The sequence below is a fragment of the Homo sapiens genome, chromosome 2 (genome assembly GCF_000001405.40).
Source record: "Homo sapiens chromosome 2, GRCh38.p14 Primary Assembly".
In the NCBI taxonomy this organism is placed as follows: domain Eukaryota; kingdom Metazoa; phylum Chordata; class Mammalia; order Primates; family Hominidae; genus Homo; species Homo sapiens.
Window position 1 is genome coordinate 57998288 of NC_000002.12, and position 18581 is coordinate 58016868.

General features: G+C 34.2%; 1 protein-coding gene across 2 annotated transcripts in view, besides 1 other annotated feature; it reads left to right on the top strand.

Annotated features, from left to right (window-relative positions):
• VRK2 (VRK serine/threonine kinase 2) overlaps window positions 1-18581 on the top strand; it is a 252329-nt gene that overhangs the window by 90696 nt on the left and 143052 nt on the right. The window lies entirely within an intron of this gene.
• Window positions 7533-7733: a silencer, noted in NCBI's record as "peak3709 fragment used in MPRA reporter construct". NCBI's record gives its function as "represses an SCP1 promoter by STARR-seq MPRAs in K562 erythroleukemia cells {active_cell/tissue: K562}" and the evidence as "EXISTENCE:reporter gene assay evidence [ECO:0000049][PMID:32103011]".

An 18581-nucleotide genomic window follows, 5' to 3' on the forward strand; every position in this document is an offset into this window, starting at 1 on the left:
ATGCTACTATTCTCTTTAAAGTATATAAGCAATTGATATCTAATACAATCAATCAATAAAATGTGAAGGTAAATGTTTCCTTGATTTAGTAGCAGTTTTTAAAAATCTCTATTGTATTTTCACATATATTCTCAAAAATATATGAAGGAATTACTTCGAGTGTTAATCTGGGAGATAATTTATAATTTTAATTTCTTTCCCATGATGACAGGGAAACAATGGAAAACAGCCTAAAACATATAGGTTATCTCTAGGGCACATTTCTTTAAAGGTTATTAACATTTTTGAACAATAGGAGATTCTCCTACCAAAATTAAAGATTATATTGAGAATTTTATTTTACTTTAATGAACGGGCCTGATGAACCATAAGTTATATCTATATGGCACAGTTAACTACCCTTTCTGTTCTTCAGATCACCATGAGAATAAGAGACCTAAAATAATTACATGTTGTATTTTGAGGACATTGCTTCACTTGAATTTATGATTAGTACAATTAGTCACAGATACTGTTGGCTGCAACAAGTAAGTCTATGAAAAAGCGTCTTCCAAATAACACAGATGCCTTTGCTAAGGATTGTCTGATATTGGACTAATTCATTCTGAAGGTATCTGAAGTCAGTATGGATAGTTATCTGTACTGTAAGATCAAAATATAGACTTTACTTTCAATTTTCAGACATTCCAAAACCTAGAATTTTGTAGAATTGTGTGTATATTAATAAATATGAAAAAATTTATATCTACTGGACAGTTGTTACATTATAAGGTATAAGGGGGTGGGGGGATCTCAGAACACTTGGGTTCATTTGGAGGAGGACTTGACACAGAACAGTTTTAAAGGCACAGCCCATTTAGCCAAACACCTCCATCTTAAATCAACTTCGTCACTCTGTATAAGAATATCTTTGTGCAGTATTTTGGATCTTCAGGGTCAAATAGTATTTCAGGCCATATAATGCACTTCTTTTGTGTGTTTTAAACAATCAAATAGTAGTTCCTTCTTTGTTTGTGTTTACTACAAGTTTTGGTAGATCCTCTAGGCTATAAATATAATATTTATACATAGTTTGATAATACATATCAAAAACTGTAAAATTTCTACATGTATGCACGTAATGTTAACTTCATTAGAAATGGGAAAAAGTCTCACTAAAGTGAGCAATATTGAATTAATCAAATCAAATAGCTTTGTGTTTGTAGACTTAAGTCTACAACAGCCTAATAAAAGCAAAGATAATTCACAGCTTTATCTTTAATCAGATGGGTGAACTTTTGAGCCTATAAAATTTACATAAATATAAAAAATTTTGAAAGAATGTTACTGAAGCCTGTATGTTATTTTAAATACTGATTAAGTCTTGGGTTATATATCAAAACCATCAGTTGTAGCAAGCATATGTAGAAAGATAACAAAATTAGTTTTTAGAGTTAGTGTAAGTTTATTAGTTAAAGCAACAAAGTTACATAAATCATACATACTAAAACATTTCATCTGGAAGTATAAGGTAGTTAAAGTAGAGTCCTTAAGCACTTATGACACATTAAATACTTGTGTATTAAAAACTATTATAGCCAGTTAGTGGCTCATGCCTATAATCCCAGCATTTTGGGAGGTCGAGGTAGAAGGATCATCTTGAGGCCAGGAGTTTGAGACCAGCCTGAGCCATATAACAAGACTCCATCTCTACAAAAATTTAATACACACACACATGCACACACGCACACACGCACACACGCATGCACACACAATAAACCTCATTTCTACCTAAGAATGCAAATTTAATGCACTAGCTTTTCCCCCATGCATTCAATTATTTCTTCATCATTCATCCTATAAATATTTATTGAGCTCCCTGCTCTTAAACTATTGTAGAGAAGGCAGAGACATAAAATATATGGCCATAATACTGTGTGATAAGTACTCTTGGTTATTTACCAAGTTAGGCCACTTACAGAAACTAATAAGGTTAATTACAAAAGTCCCTCAATAATTTTACCTCTAAGGTAACTGGGTTTTTTAAAAAGCTCCCTGCATTAGCTTCATTATACTATAAAAGAAATGGCAAGTGAAAAACTCCAGAATTATTATATTTACATTAAGGAAAATCAGGCAAGATGCCTATCTTCTCAACTTCATATTCATTTAATGGACACCCATACTTCATTTTTTCTTCAGTTATAGAAATTCTTGAAAGGCATTATAACTAGATCATTTTAATAAGAGAAAAGACCATCATATAGAAAATGACTAAATTATTCTCAGCTTAGGATTTCACTATTTATTTATTCATTTATTTATTTATTTTTGCCTCAGGCTTTGGGGACATTAAGGCCATGTTATAAATCCTGGTCACTGCTTTTTCTAAAGAGCAAAAATGAGAGTTTATTAGCAGCTCAGTGGTTGCCCCAATAATGACAAAACAGTTGCTCATTACTGCTCATTAGTTTCATATTAGATTCATTTGCAATAGCAATATATCTTCTATTCATACTCGACTGCAAAACAACAGATATGATTTGACACCTGCTGTACAACAGAATTCATTAGATAGTAATAATACAAATAGAAATTCAGAAGCTGGACTTTTATTTGCTTCTGTGATGACTCTGTACAAGAAAATGCCTTTGAAATCATCTAGGCTAGAATAACATAAATATGCATAGCAGCTGATCAGGTTTTCAAATACTGAATTCTCTATTTTTCTATCTACAACAATGTTCTATATACATAATGTAATATTTTAATGAGTGGCATAATTTTCAAAATAATAAACCACTTCTTACTATACAGATGAAATGAAATATTAAATTAGAGAAGCAGATGGAATAAAAAAAGAAGCCCAAGACAGTTTTTGAACTGTAGGATAAACCGAACTATTTTTTCATACATTTCATACTTTTTTCATACATTTATGCCTTCATCCATGAAGAATAATCAGGTTTCAAAGTGTACCTAATCATTCCTCCTGATATTCAATTATGTTTGCTTACTTGAACAAATACTTGTGGCTATTTCCACATGTCATTGCATACAATGAAAGAAGAATGTTTAACTATTATTATTTTGTTTGGATTCATGCACCCTAAATCACCAAAATGCAGCCACAAATTCAAAATGAAATGACTGTTTCTGCTTTTCTGAGAGTTTTAGAAGGAAAATCTAATGTACTTTGTTTCATGTAAGAATTAATCTTCTGCATTTCTACGGAAAATAAAATATTAACTAGTCCTTTAAAATATATGAGTTGGCCCATTGTGGTGGCTCACACCTGTAATCCCAGCACTTTGGGAGGACAAGGCGGGCTGATCACTTGAGGTGAGGAGTTTGTGACCAGCCTGCCCAACTTAATGAAACCCCGTCTCTATTAAAAATACAAAAATTAGCCAGGCGTGGTGTCGCGCACCTATAAGCCCAGCTACTTGGGAGGCTGAGGCAGGAGAATCGCTTGAACCTGGGAGGCAGAGGTTGCAGTGAGCCGAGATCGCGCCACTGCACTCCAGCCTGGGCGACAGAATAAGACTCTGTCTCAATAATAATAAAAATAGTAGTAGTAATAATAATAATATGAGTCATTGGAGACTTTATTTTCTTCCATTCCACAACCTCTTTTTAGTTATCTACAATATTCCAGGGACTTTAAGATCATGATATTCATACCTTTGTGTGACTAGAATTTAACACCACTATCAATTCTGTCAGATTACAAATTACAAAGAATCTAAATAATGGTTGAATTCCTACCGTATTTCACAAACCTAGAACATGGTAGCAACTCAATAAATATTTATTAAATGAATTAATGAATGAGTGCTGTGAAAAATATAATAGAGAATAATATCTGCTCTTTGTTGTATATAATTCTGGTGAGGAAGTAAATCTCAAGAGATATTTAAAATAAAAGTAAAGGCTGGGCGTGGTGGTTCACGCCTGTAATCCCAGCACTTTGGGAGGCTGTGGCGGATCACCCGATGTCAGGAGTTCAAGACCAGCCTGGCTAACATTGTGAAACCCCATTTCCACTAAAAATATAAAAAATTAGCCAGGTATGGTGGCATGCACCTATAATCCCAGCTACTCGGGAGGCTGAGGCAGAATTGCTTGAACCCAGAAGGCAGAGGATGCAGTGAGCCAAGACCATGCCATTGCACTCCAGCTTGGGCAACAAGAGCGAAATTCCATCTCCAAAAAAAAAAGTAAAATCAGTATGTGTGAAGATAGGTAGTGGAGACCACACTTATTTTGAGAATGAAGAAAAATGGAGAGATCACCATAAGCTGAAACTGCAGAGGATTATTTTTTTTTAATCATATGGTTATATATCTTTATCCAAGCTCTAAAGGCTGAGCTGAATTTGCATAGGTGGAAGCTCAGAAACAAATATTTTAGGCGAGGGAAAAGAATTGGTCCAAATTTAAAGGTAGAAATGAGCATAGGAAATGTTGATGCTATCTTCAACAGGTGTTTTACAATATAAAGTTTGTAAATGTATTTTCACAGAAACAATGCCTCTTTTCAGACATTAGAATAATGCTGTTACAACTGTTAAAGCATGCTTCATTTTGTGTTTGGAAATTAATCTGCTAACATCACAAAATACATCATTTGCATGCAGACTTGTAGAAAGAAAATCAACACAGGGTCATGATGCCCATCAAGTAAATTCATGCCACTTATATACAATAGTGTTGGAAGTTAAATTGTCTAAAATTAGTTAATGATTCTAGTGTTAGTATGTACACTACAATTTAGGTAAATAAACTCAAATTCAAACAGGTATATTCTCAAAAAGTAAAATTTCCATCCTGATAATTGACCATAACAAACATATACATAAACTAAGCTTTACAATAATCAAAGCCTTAAGTAAATGTTACATTCTGTAACAGATATTTTGTACTAGAAAGCAGATCACAGGAGGGCTTATTGCCCTTCTTGCTTAAAAAAGAAAATCCAACCAGAAATTCAAATTTAAAATGACAAAATATGGGTTCCATATAATGTATCTTGACTGCTTACTATTATTTATTCCTTGGGTCTTCATAACAACTGACATAAAATCACATTGCAACATTTTTTTGTTTTTAAAACACCTGGCTTTAGCACCACCGGGAAAATTATTTTATGTTTTTTAAAATTCATGAATATGTATCAATATTATCTCTATTATTTACATTATCAGTTAATGTCTAATATAGAGTTTCCAGGGTTAGCGTATAAAAATATAAGATGCACAGTTAAATTTGAATTTCAGAAAACTGCAAATTATTTTTAGCATAATTATATTCCATGCAATATTTTGAGCATAGTTTGACTATAAAATTAGTTTATCTGAAATTTAACTGGATGTCCTCTACCTTTTCTGGCAATTTTAGCATAAAACAGTGCATTGCATTCTCAAAAGCAATTGTTTCTACAACCTTCTTTTCTTCTCATCATATACCATGGTGTCTTGTGGCCTGTGATTTCAGTTATAATTCTAATCCAGGCTGAATCAAGGCAGTTGGTATTTATACATTTTTCTCACACAAAATTATGTTTTCTAATAATTTACAAAATTTTAACTTTCTAATAATTGTTTACTATAACTTGTTTACTATAACTGTTAAATCTTGTCACTGAGGCCTTCCTATAGATTGAATTCTTAGTGTAATTTATACTTGCACTATTTAGAACAGATAGATACCATTCCTAATTCCAGACTGCCATTTTGCAAATATTAGGAAATGCTTTCTCTCTTTACTTTAATTCAAAGATTAATAGTTTTTGACTCTTTCTCAGAATCCTGTGTTTAATAGTAAGAATCAACTCTCTTCTTTTCTTCCTGCTCATTCTCAATCTCTTGCTCTTTTTTCTCTTTGTCTCTTTTTCTTTCACGCATACATACACGCATACAGCACACACACACAAACACACACATCCTGACCTACCACAACCTATGGGACTATAATATGCTTTTATAGTTCCTACCAAGGTAGTTCTTGAAGCCATAGAGGTACTAAGCCACTGTGTATTCTCTGAAGATGTGATATGATTTGTATGACTTTTCTAAAATGTATTACTGAGTGGTTCAGTGACTAAGTCTATTTCCTTCTTTCAGGACTTGTAAATGAGCCTCTTACCAAAAGCTTTTTATTAGAATGGCAATTGACTGTTTTCTAATCTGTTATTGCAATGATTTTAGCCTGTGAAACAAATCTAGGCATTATTCTGAAATAATGAGTGATGTTTGAAATAGAGAAGTTTAAACCTGAGCTTCAAGAAAAATAAAATAAATACATCCTTGGACAGCCATTTGTCATTTGTTTTGGATTTTGTTCATAAAATGGAATAATCTATTCCTTTAATATTCCTCAATAATGGTTAACTTTTTAAATTATGTCCTCTGCCAAAGAAAAGTATACTCAATACAAGGAATACAGATTTCCCTTTCATATATGTGGTAATTTTTCTCTACCTAACATTTTATCTGAGTACTTTCAATAAAACAGGCAAATAGGATAAATGTATTGTTTAGTGAAATATCAAAAAATCCTGAAGGTGATCAGGCATTATTGAGACATATACTAGTTCTTCCAGTATAGTGGAAAATCATTTGAAACTGTATTAAATAATCACCTATCAAATTCTCTGCAGTTACAGTGAATGTAGAGACTTACAGTCCAGTTAGCTGGTCATTATTCTACTTCCAGGGACCAGTTAGTGGCCCATTTACTCTAATTTCACACTTGAAAGGCAAAGAAATGTATAAACATTATGTTAACATTCATGCAATGAAGAAAGAAGGCTTGCAATTTTAATTATCATCTAGAAAATATTAAGTTTTGTCCAATATATTGTATTCTGCATGATATGACTATATAATTAGCCAGGTCAGCCTGTAGGGATTTATATGCAAAAACTATTTTGTCAGGAAACCATGTTTACACAGGGATTAAACAACATCTAAGAAGATAAAGATATTAACATTTAAAATATTATCTAAATAGATTGCTTTCTTCTAAAAATGTAGAATCTTCTGTGGTTACAAAAGTAATGCAAGCTCATAATGGAAAATTTCAAAATTATAGAAAGTGTGTAGATTAAAATGAAAATTTCTTACTCTAGCACTTTTTCAGATATCTCTTGCTTTTTGATACAGTTGTTTCTGGTCTTCTAAATATTGATATTTTTATAAAATTTGGATTATATGTTGCTTTTAATAATAAGATAATTAAAATTTAAAAGACAATGGGTAAAGTAAAAAATAAATGAGGCCTAACTGAAGAAATGTTGATGCAAAACAAATCTGTTGAAATGACATAAAAATGCAAGAAGAAGAAAAATATAAAACATATGTAAGATATATAAAAAGACATGGAAGAATTATTGAGAGGGTCAGTAAAAACATTCAGTGAGATAGGAGGTAAACATTTTCTCACTTTGGTAGGGTGTCTACTGTTAAAGCAAGGGCATTGATTGGGAAAGAATAGGATCATGTAAGTTGGAAGACCCAGATGAAGCTAGGGACATTAAACTCCTAAATTCGAATGAGTCTTCTTTGACAGTAGAAGAGACCTCCCCAGCCCTACTGGAGGGGATCTCTCCAACCTCAAGGGTAGTAGCCTCTCTAACCTCCTCTAAGGGGATTGCTGCTGCTTTGACTAAAGAAACTGAAATAGCCTCCCCTGAGGCAGATGGTAAGCAAGGCAATGCTGATTCTCCTAAGAACCCACCCCACCACCTCTCTTTGCTTCCAGACCTGTAGCTAGACTCATGTCCCAGCATCCCCCTAGAGGTAAGGTAAAAAGTATAACCCCTGAGGGTATGTGCTACCCTCCAGAAGAACTACTTGAGTTTTCTACTTTATACAGAGAGAAATCTGGGGGACATGTGTGGAAACTGGTATAAAGGGTGTGAGATAATAGTGAAAGGCAAATAATGTTGGATCAGGCGTATTGGCATAGAGTCACTGAGCAGAGATTCTGCATTTAATGTTAAAGCTTTGGCAGTTAGGAGGGATTTTAAAAGTTTGTTTGGTGGAAAGTGAAGAATGGACCAAAAGGTGGCCCACAGTGAGTAAATTAAAAATGCCAGACATGCCTTGGTTTGACTTAGTGGAAAGAATTCAAAGTCTTAGGGAGATTGGAATGTTAGAGTGGATTTACCATTTAAGATCCATTCACTTATATTGGAACGGTCTAGAAGACATACCACTGACCAATACTGTGAGGAAATAAATTTGTAAGTGAAGCCTCAGCATTCTTGAAAATCTTTGTGATCACTCTTCTCTGTGGAGCAGACCTCACAGTGGGAATTGAAGTCACTACATTAGAAAACCTAAATGCAATGGGAGTAATTGGATCCTGGATGCCAAGGGCCAAGAGGCAGGATTCAATCTCCAAGGCAAGGTGGGTATGGTTACTGTGAAGGACAGTAGAGTCAAAGCAACAATCAGAAGAGCTGGCCTTGAACTGACCTATGGCATTGGCTATTTAATTATGGGTGTTCCTAAAAGTGAAACAGAAAGGAAGCCTACTAAATTCTTACTTGACCTTTACGGACAGAAAAGTTCTAGGTCAAGTGAACAGAAGTCTAATTTGAGTCATAGAAATGGAGAGTCATGACCTCCCAATTCCTAGACAAGCCAGTTTACATACAGATCCAGAATCCTTCTAATGAGGGCAAGGCTGGGTCCCCTTGAGGAAGGACCCCAGTACATTGTCGAAAATGAATAATATTAATCTTTCTCTCAGCCTTCCCCAAAGACCTTTGGACTTTGACTGGAACTGACACCATCAATATTCTTCCTTCTCAGTTCTTTAGACTAAGACTGAAACTATACCATCAGTTCTCCTGCATCTTCTGTTTGCTAAATAGAGATCTTGGGACTTCTCAGCCTCCAAAATTAAATGAACCCATTTCTCATAATAAATCTCTCTCTCTCCCTCTCTCTCTCTCTCTCTCTCTCATATATATGTATGTACATATACACACTCATACATATGTGTGTTTATGTATGTATATGTAATTGATTCTTTTCTCTGGAAAATCGTGGCTAACAGAACGAATACAGTTGGCCCTTGAACAACACAGACTCAAGCTGCATAGGTCCACTTAACATGTGGATTTTCTTCCACCTCTTCCAGCCCGAGACAGCAAGAATAACCTCTCCTTTTCCTCCTCCTCCCCACCCTACATAACGTAAAGATGACAAGGATAAAGGCATATGACAATCTACTTCCACATAATAAATACTAAATATATTTTCCTCTTATAATTTTCTTAATAACATTTTCTCTGCTTACTTTATGTAAGAATACAATACATATTACATATAACATACAAAATATGTGTTAATCAACTGTTTATGTTATTGTGAAGGCTTCTGGTCAACATAAGCCTATTAGTAGTTAAGTTCTGGGGAAGTCAAAAGTTATACACAGATTTTCTACTGTGCAGGGAATCACTGTCCCTAACCCCCATATTGTTCAATGGTCAACTGTATGCCTATATTAAGAGAAAACTTTAAAATAAAATTTTAAAAAATCACTAAAGACAGCTACTGATAATAAAAGTTTTCGTAAATACAACATTTCTAAATGTATGTGCCTCCAAGAACATAACCTCATAACTCATAAAGCAATATGCTAAAATTACAAAGGGAAATAGAAAATCCACAATAATGCTGACTACTTTAACAAACTTGTCTCTGTAAATAACAGAAGAAGAAAAAATAAGAATGTAGTGTTTTGAACATAAAAACCACAAGAAAAAAACCTTTAAATAAACACTGAACATTTTTTAAAGAACTATAAGTTGTAACAAATTTCAATGAACTGAAATCATACAGAGCATGTTTTCTAATCAGAGTGAAACTAAACTAGAAATCAATTACAGTAGAATAACTAAAAACTCCTTTTGAATATTTCTTAAAAAGTCAATTACACTAGGGTCAAATAAGATCTATATAGTACATGACGCAAAGATGAACTTACAATAAAAAATTAGGAAATATTGTCAACTGATGAAAATACATAGTATCAAATTTAAGTTCATATTATAGAAAAAACAGGAAGATGAAAAGGAAGGAAGGAACGAAGAAAGGAAGCAGGAGAGGAAGAAAATTACAAAGGAAAACAGACAAATCCACAATAATAGCTACTGTTTATTTAACAGTAATTTAACAGTTTATTTAACAATAATGCCTAATGTCTATTTAAAGGTTTTTTTCCTGTGGTTAACAAACGTGAAGGAAGGAAGAAAAGAAGGAAGGCAGAAGGAAGGTAGGAAGGAAGGAAACTAACAATCTAAGCATCCAATTTATGTAGTTAGTAAAGAAAAAGAAAAAGGAATTACATCTCTCCCCAAAAAGCAGAAGGAATAAAATATAAATATAAAAGCAGATAATAAAATATAAAACAAGGATATTATACAGAAAGTGAGGAAATGGTTAATACATAATTCAATAGACTGGTTATATCTGATAAAGGAGGAAAGAGGATGTCTTAGTCAATTTGTGCTATAACAAAACACCAGAGACTGGGTAATTTAAGAAGAACACAGATTTATTTTCTCACTGTTCTAGAGGCTGAGAAGTCCAAGATCAAGGCACTGGAAAGTTTAGTTGTCTGATGAATGTTGCCCTCTGCTTTCCAGATGGCACCTTGTTGCTGCATCCCACAGAGAAGGAGGAATGTGGTATACTCACAGGGAGAAGGTAGAAGGTGATTCCCTCTGCCAACCCCTTTAATAAGGGCAACTAATTCCATTCACAAGGAAGGAGCTCTCATGGCCTAATGACCTCTTAAAGGCCTCGCCTTCTAATACTAGCCCATTGGCAACTCCTGAATTTTGTAGGGGACACTTTGAAATGGTAGCAGGGAATATCATTAGGGAAGTGTGCACTATTTTTACAGTCACTTCTCATTTCTTGTACTGAAAAAACAAATTCCATGATTAGGAAAATATAATCTGTGAATTTATTTAACTGGACATATGATATATCTTGCAGGTATATACATACATTGCTATATGTAGAGTAAAAAAAATAAACTAGTGTCTGAGAAAGCAACCTCTCAAGGTGTACCATGGAGCCTCTTCTACTTTCTTGTCTGTGAACCACTTGTACTGAATATCAGCCATGACCATGTGATATATAAACAAAGGGAAGCCACCAGTGCAATCTGTATAGTAAATTTTAATAAAGGTTGATGTCTTTATTTTTAATTTTAAAATAATACAATTGACAGATCTAGTATGTCTTCTAACCACTCAATCAATCATTTTGTTTTCACCCATGATGTTCACACCTTGCGTTGTATCCACATATTATTTAATTCCAATGACTTGATTTTCTACAGGGTCAGTTCTAATCACTAATGTTCTTTCTGTCATTCAACATATCAGACCAGTTCATTTTCACTTTATTCATACAGCTCATATTTTATTAAAATTGTGAAGAGTACAATACAGATGCTTAAGAAAAATTTTGTTTCCCATTTAGATATGATTCTTCTATTATCTTTAAGCCTACGCTTTACTTACATGAGAGCATACTTTCATTTATTCTCCATACTGTTTTTTTCTCCTACTTACCCATCCTTTAATGAGAATAAATATATGCAGGCCTATAGGTTGTAAATTGACAGGGTGAGTGTATATTCCAGTGTCCAATACTTAATGTCCACTAGGACACCACCAAAATTCTCCTCTCATACCTTAAGCTGAAGCACAATAGGTATGTACAGAACCTCCCCAAGTTTGTGGTGTCTAAAGACACTTAGTTGGTAAGCCTAGGGCAGGATTTATTTTTACTTATCTCCACTACCTGGCTCCTTTACAATGAGAAAGCAACTTGGTATATTAAATTGGAGAGCTTAGAGTCTCAAATCAGACTGTCTGGGTTCAAATCCCATCTTCACAACCTATTAGAGGTGTGACCTTGGGCAAATCACTTAATTTGTCATTGCCTTAGTTAGCACATTTCTAAAATAGAGATGATGATCATCTCTACCTCACAGCAGTATTATAATTTCATGACAAACAAGTATGAGCTCTTATTAATTTATGTTTAGATATACTTTTTACTAAAAATGCTGCATGAAAAAAATTTCTTTAGAGTACCAACTCCCTATTTTTTTTCTAATTCTGTTCTTATTTACTGCCAATTTAATATCAAGGGTTAGTGTCCCCTACTCACCCTTGGCTAGTTTACGTACTGTGAATTTCAACCACTCAATGGATAAGGGCAACTTAGCCTGTTGGTTAATTTTGCTCACCCCATCAGGGAAAAACCGTGACTCTTTTGGTTGGAATATAGGTCTCCATTGGAAAATCGGGGTATGCAGGGAGTTTCCTATCTCCTACCTGTCAGAGGCACAGGCATGCTTGTGATTGTTTCTTCTTCTGATCTTTCTGCACAGTTAATCCTTTCAGAGTCTGACAACTCTTTGTATCCCTCCCACCCCACAGCACTCCTTATCTATTAACAAACTGGGCTAATTGTTTGTTGTCTGCTCCCAACTCCATGGCAGCTAGAATAATATCTCTGCAAGGACAGGGAATTTTCTATATATGTTTACATAAGGACAGGGAATTTCCTCTATATGTTTACTTAAAACAGGGCCTGGCCCTGTGTAAGATTTCAAATAAATGCTTTTTAATATATTAACAACCTTACTTTTTAGTACAACTGTGACTCTACAAGTGTTCTGTTTTCAAAGGCATTTCAATGGGGAACTCCATCAGGTGAAACTAGCTGGCCTCCATACCTTGGAGGTCAGGTGCATTGTTTTTAGAACCAATCATTTGAACTTTCCCCAATGTATGACAATTTAAAAATATATATATTTAACAGCCCAGGGCATCTTTTTTTGGTAATGTCAGAGAAGACAATTGAAGTCACTGAATTTGCATTAAGAGCAGCAACTTTCCTTCAAATGATAGCTGCCCTAGGGCAAGGGCAAAACTTCAGCCATATTGGTTAGACAGAGATGAAAAACTGGATTGGTCACAGGCCCTGCTCTACATATATCATCCAGTGAAATTGGTTTTAGTTAGAAATATTAATGGCATTCCTTTTTTGGGTTTCCACCACTTCTTTTCAGTTCTAAAGTTCTGCCTCCATTTATGGTTGCTTCAACTGCCAGTCGGAAAGCTTCTATCCAAGGCTGTCAGCAGAAGACACTTGAACTGGAATTTCAATGAAGTATTGTAAATAATTATTTAGTATCATTCCTCTAATGAATCACATTAAATCAGGGAAGAAACACACAAGTTGTGTCTGGTGTGCTTTTCCTCTTTATGAATTTTTTTCCTTCCTAATAATAGTGCTTAAAATTTTAAGATGGTAAGAGATATATTCATGGTATTTACATTTTATTTTGTTATATTTTATTTTGTAAATTTTATTTTGACATTTTATTTTGCAAACACCAAGGTTAATACACAGGGAAAACCAAAAACAGTTCCATAAAATGAAATTATAATGGTTGAAATCTAGAGATTCTCATTGTTATGCCACAGTTTATGCTATTATCTGAACTAAATATCACTCTGTGAAAAACAGTATCTGGGTCTGCCATTTTTCAACAATTTTCTGATTTTCTAATATCAACTGGGTGGCTTATAATTCAATCCTCTTATGACACTAACTCTAGGATAGCATCAGATTCCCCAGATATAAGGGCTAAATCTCACATTAGGGCTCAAGACACACTGCCCCAAAATATGACTGTAGAACACCAGACACTGTTACTCCAAAATATATTTCTTTGGCATGTTTTGAGCTGGTTATTCTGAGAAAAGGCAAACAAAAGAGTAGCTCTGAAATTTACAGTTTTTCAGGAGCAAAATTTACAGTAATCAGGAAGTCACCCTATATGGTCTAAAAAGGGGAGGCATGAATAATCCACCTTTGTTTAGCATATCATCAAGAAATAACCACAAAAATGGGCAACCAGCAGCCCTCAGGGCTGCTATGTCTATGGAGTAGCCATTCTTTTATTCCTTTACTTTCCTAATAAACTTGCTTTCACTTTATTCTATGGACTCGCCCTGAATTCTTTCTTGCATGAGATCCAAGAACCCTCTCTTGGGGTCTGGATTGGGACCCCTTTCCTGTAACATGAGCACCACCCTTTCAGCACTTCAATGTTTTGGAGCAACCAGAAGCTCCTCTAACATTATTGTTCAAGAGGTTTTTTTTAAGGCTTTATTTATCAGGCATGCTTAATTAAATCACTGTCATTGGCAATTGAACTCAATCTTCAGCCCTCTTCCCCTCTCCAGAGTTTGGGGGGATAGGGCTGAAAGTTCAAGCCCTCAAATTACTTCTGTGGCTTATTCTTCCCTTGAAACCATGTAAGGGCCTACCTGGACTACACTCGTTAGCATAAACTCAGGTATGTTAAGGGGGCTCATTATAAATAACAAAATACACACCAGACACTTAAGAAATTCCAAAGAATTTAGACACTCTGTGCCAGGTATAAAAAGGACAAAGACCAAATCTATTTTTCATTATAACACAGTGGAAAAATCATATTTACTCCAAGACATTTTACGTATTATATCTTAATAACACTAAATATTTTAGTTACCATTATGCAGCCAGGTTTTTCAATGAAAAATATAAAACGTAAAACTTTCAGTGTATTTTAGAGTGTTGAAAGCTTGACATGTCAATATCTGAAAATTCAAAGTTTTACAAATTGTAACTTGGAAGAAGGAGGCTTGTAAAGAAGAATTACCTTTCAAAAAAGAGCAACGTTTAAATTTTAGATATATTCTACTTTCTATGTTTTTATAAAAAAATTTAATTCCAGTTTTAGGTGAATAAAAAAATCAAGCAGCAAAAAACAAAAATCTATTGAAGTTTCTTCTTTAAATGCCAATATATTTTCATGATGAAACATGAAAATAGGTATAGCGTAAAAAGATCTTTAAATATCATAACCAAAATTTGATTATTACCAGTACATAACTTGTATGCATTTGCAGAAGGCATTTATGTAACTTCCATTCAAATTTATTTGTGTCTGTTATTTACACATCTACTAATGTCATCAAAATGCATAATGAGGCAGCAATGCAGAATATCCAGCTTTGTATAATATGTTTACACATTCTGACTGCTAATACGCTAGAAATAAGTCAAAATGCTCTATCAGTGGTAACTTTGTAAAGAACTTAATTTTTTGGTTATCTGAAATGTTTGAATCTGTAATTCCTTTTCTATATTTTTATAAATAAGTAATAATAAATTGCTAAAAAGTTTTTAAAAAACAGATATGATTCTTGCCTTAAAAAAGATACAGGGCCGGGCGCGGTGGCTCACGCCTGTAGTCCCAGCACTTTGGGAGGCCGAGGCGGGCGGATCACGAGGTCAGGAGATCGAGACCACGGTGAAACCCCGTCTCTACTAAAAATACAAAAAATTAGCCGGGCGCAGTGGCGGGCGCCTGTAGTCCCAGCTACTCGGGAGGCTGAGGCAGGAGAATGGCGTGAACCCGGAAGGCGGAGCTTGCAGTGAGCGGAGATCGCGCCACAGCACTCCCTCCTGGGCGACAGAACGAGACTCCGTCTCAAAAAAAAAAAAAAAAAAAAAAAAGATACAGTACCTTGCTCACTACAAACTGATTAAAATATTCATAATAATTTCATATTGGACTGCAAAATTTTGTTAATTTACTCAAATTTGCTTATGCTATAGGGTAATACTTTCATAATACTTTCAGGAGATAATAGAAATATCACCTAAATAATAATGATATCACAATGTTTCCACTTTCTCACAGCAGGGATTTAACAACAGCTATTTTTAGCAGAGACAATTCTTTGCTAATTGATTCATTTTTATCAGTTTTAAAATTGATACATGTATTAAAAATTGGTGCACCAACTCGGGAATATATTATATTGTAATCTGCTCTAGGTAGTCTGCCGTGCTATATTCCTAAGGAGATAAATTACCAAATCTGCATATTGTGCATTGGTCAAGAGTAATGTAAATTATCAATACTGTATGGTCAAAGATAACTCCACTTAATACAATGTCCTTTCTGCTACATTTAAATATCTGGCTAATTTCTTATTATGAGAGCAGATTCACTGATTACAATCTTTCAAGATATGGGGAAAAGATATTAAATAAAAACAGTTTCGTAAAACCAGTGATCAATTAGCTTCAGTGCAAGGGAAAATTTCATAATTCTTACCAGTTAAAACCAGGTATAGCCTTTACCCTTGCATTCTGCTTCAACAACTCAGGTTACCACTTCTGTTGAATAATCCAAAAGACCCATTTCACTCCTATACTGCTTGCACACTATGCAGCATTGCATTTCAGTTCACAAATATGCTTTGGGTACTTAGATATGCAAGACACTATGTTTGGTCCTGGGAATTCAAAGATGAATACGGCATGATTCTCGCCTTTGAAAAATTTATAGCCTAGTATGGGAAACTGACATTAAATTGAATGATACCACATTTTAGAACTTTTGTTAGTTTTATAAAAAAGAGACACATTAAAGGTAGTTGAGGTAAAAGAGTATTATTGTGTAGGTGTAGATCTGCAGTAGCCACCTAAAGACCCAGAACCAGGAAGGTATCAAGAAGGAACAGAACCCAAGTGGAAACTCTGCTTCTTTTTTTTAGGTTCTGCTAACACCTTGATTTTCCCTCAGTAAAATCCACTTCAGATTTCTGACCCTGAGAATTTTAAGATAATACATTTGTGCAATTTTAAGCTATAATTGGTAATTTGTTACAGGCACAATAGAGCACTAATACAGAAGTTATACAATCATTTTTTTTATCCTGGTAGTGGCTATATTCAAATTTTAGGAATATTTAGCTTATATTTCTCTGCCAAATCAAGAACACCTATTAAGTCCTCTTGTGTGGCTACATCAGAGATTTAACAAGCATTTAGCTTTTGCCATCATTTTTCATCTTAGGTTTGTTCATTTCCTTCTTCACTTGTTTGTGTGTTTGTTAAATTATTCCGCTTTTTAAATTCAACTAATTATTAATTAACATTGTTAATATGATGCAGTATAATGTTTGTTCTGGAGTCAAGCATGCTTGGCTATGAATCCTGGCCTTACTATTTCCTGGCTGTGGGACCATGGACAAATTATGCAGACTTTCTGATTCTATTGACCTTACATGGAAAATCGGTTGAGAATTCAATACCTATCTCATTATTATTTTATATTAAATTAAATGATGCATGAAAAGCATCTGGCACTTAGGCAATCACTCAATAAGCAAGAAATGTCATAATCTTCCCTTTCAAGAACTCTTTTTGACCTTTGCACTAAGTATTTAAATTGTTATCATACATATTTATGTGTATAAAAAATAAAATTTATTTAAGTGTTTTTATTGCTCACTTCAATGTTTCAGTTATTTTATTAAAATCCACTTTCATTTGACAAGAATTTTTTTTTGGCTAAAATTTTGAGAAAAAATATGGAGATGGTATGTTTTGTGAGCCATTGCACAGCATGGGAAAACATGTTGCCCTCAAATGTAAATGTTAGCTTAGCTAGGTATAGAATATTGGAAATTATTACATATGAAGTTCTTGATCTCTGTCTTCAGACATTTGATTTTTATACAGATCAATTCTGAGGCAAATTTGATTTTGTTTTTTTCTTATAGCTAGCTTTTTTTTTTGTAATCAAGTGAAGACATTTATTCACTCAGGTAAATTTCTTCAAATGTTTTCTTTGATGATTGGTTCTCTATCTCCTCCTTTTTCTTGTTCTAGAATTAATTCTGTGGACTCTTGAGTTACACTGCCTGGATCTACCACTTACAAATCTTTTATCTTGGGCAAGTTGCTTAAATTTTCTGTGCCTCAGTTTTCTAATCTATAAAATAGAGAGCATAATAATATCCATCTTACAGTTTTGTTATAAGGATAAAATTTGTTATTGTATGTAAAGGAGTAAAACTTGCCTAGCACATAAGTGTTCAAAAACTATTAATTATTATTGATAGTGTTTTAATTATACACTCTTGCAGAATGTCTAATTTGCAGATTCTCCATTGTATGTTTTAATTTAATTAATTATTTTTTTGAAATGGAGTCTTGCTCTGTCTCCCAGGCGGGAATGCAGTGGCGCAATCTTGGCTCACTGCAACCTCCGCCTCCCAGGTCTCAGCTTCAAGGATTCTCCTGCCTCAGCCTCCCGAGTAGCTGGGATTACAGGTGCACACCACCATACCCGGCTAAGTTTTGTATTTTTTTAATTAGTAGAGATGGGGATTCACCATGTTGGCCAGGCTGGTCTCAAAACTCTTGACCTCAGGTGATCTGCCCGCCTCAGCCTCCAAAAGTGCTGGGATTACAGCCGTGAGCCACCACCTGGCCATGTTTTAGTTTTAGAACAGTGTTTTGCATCTAAATGCAATCTTTTAAAAATTTCTAAATTGTTGCATTTTTATAGACAACGTGTTTTCTAGACTCTCGTGGAGAATATGAAGTAGAGATTTCTGAAAATTTGCTACTGTTTCTTGGAATAAATCTGTTTTTATTTATCCTCAAAAGACATTTGCTTTACCTCCTCACAATAGTTTTCATA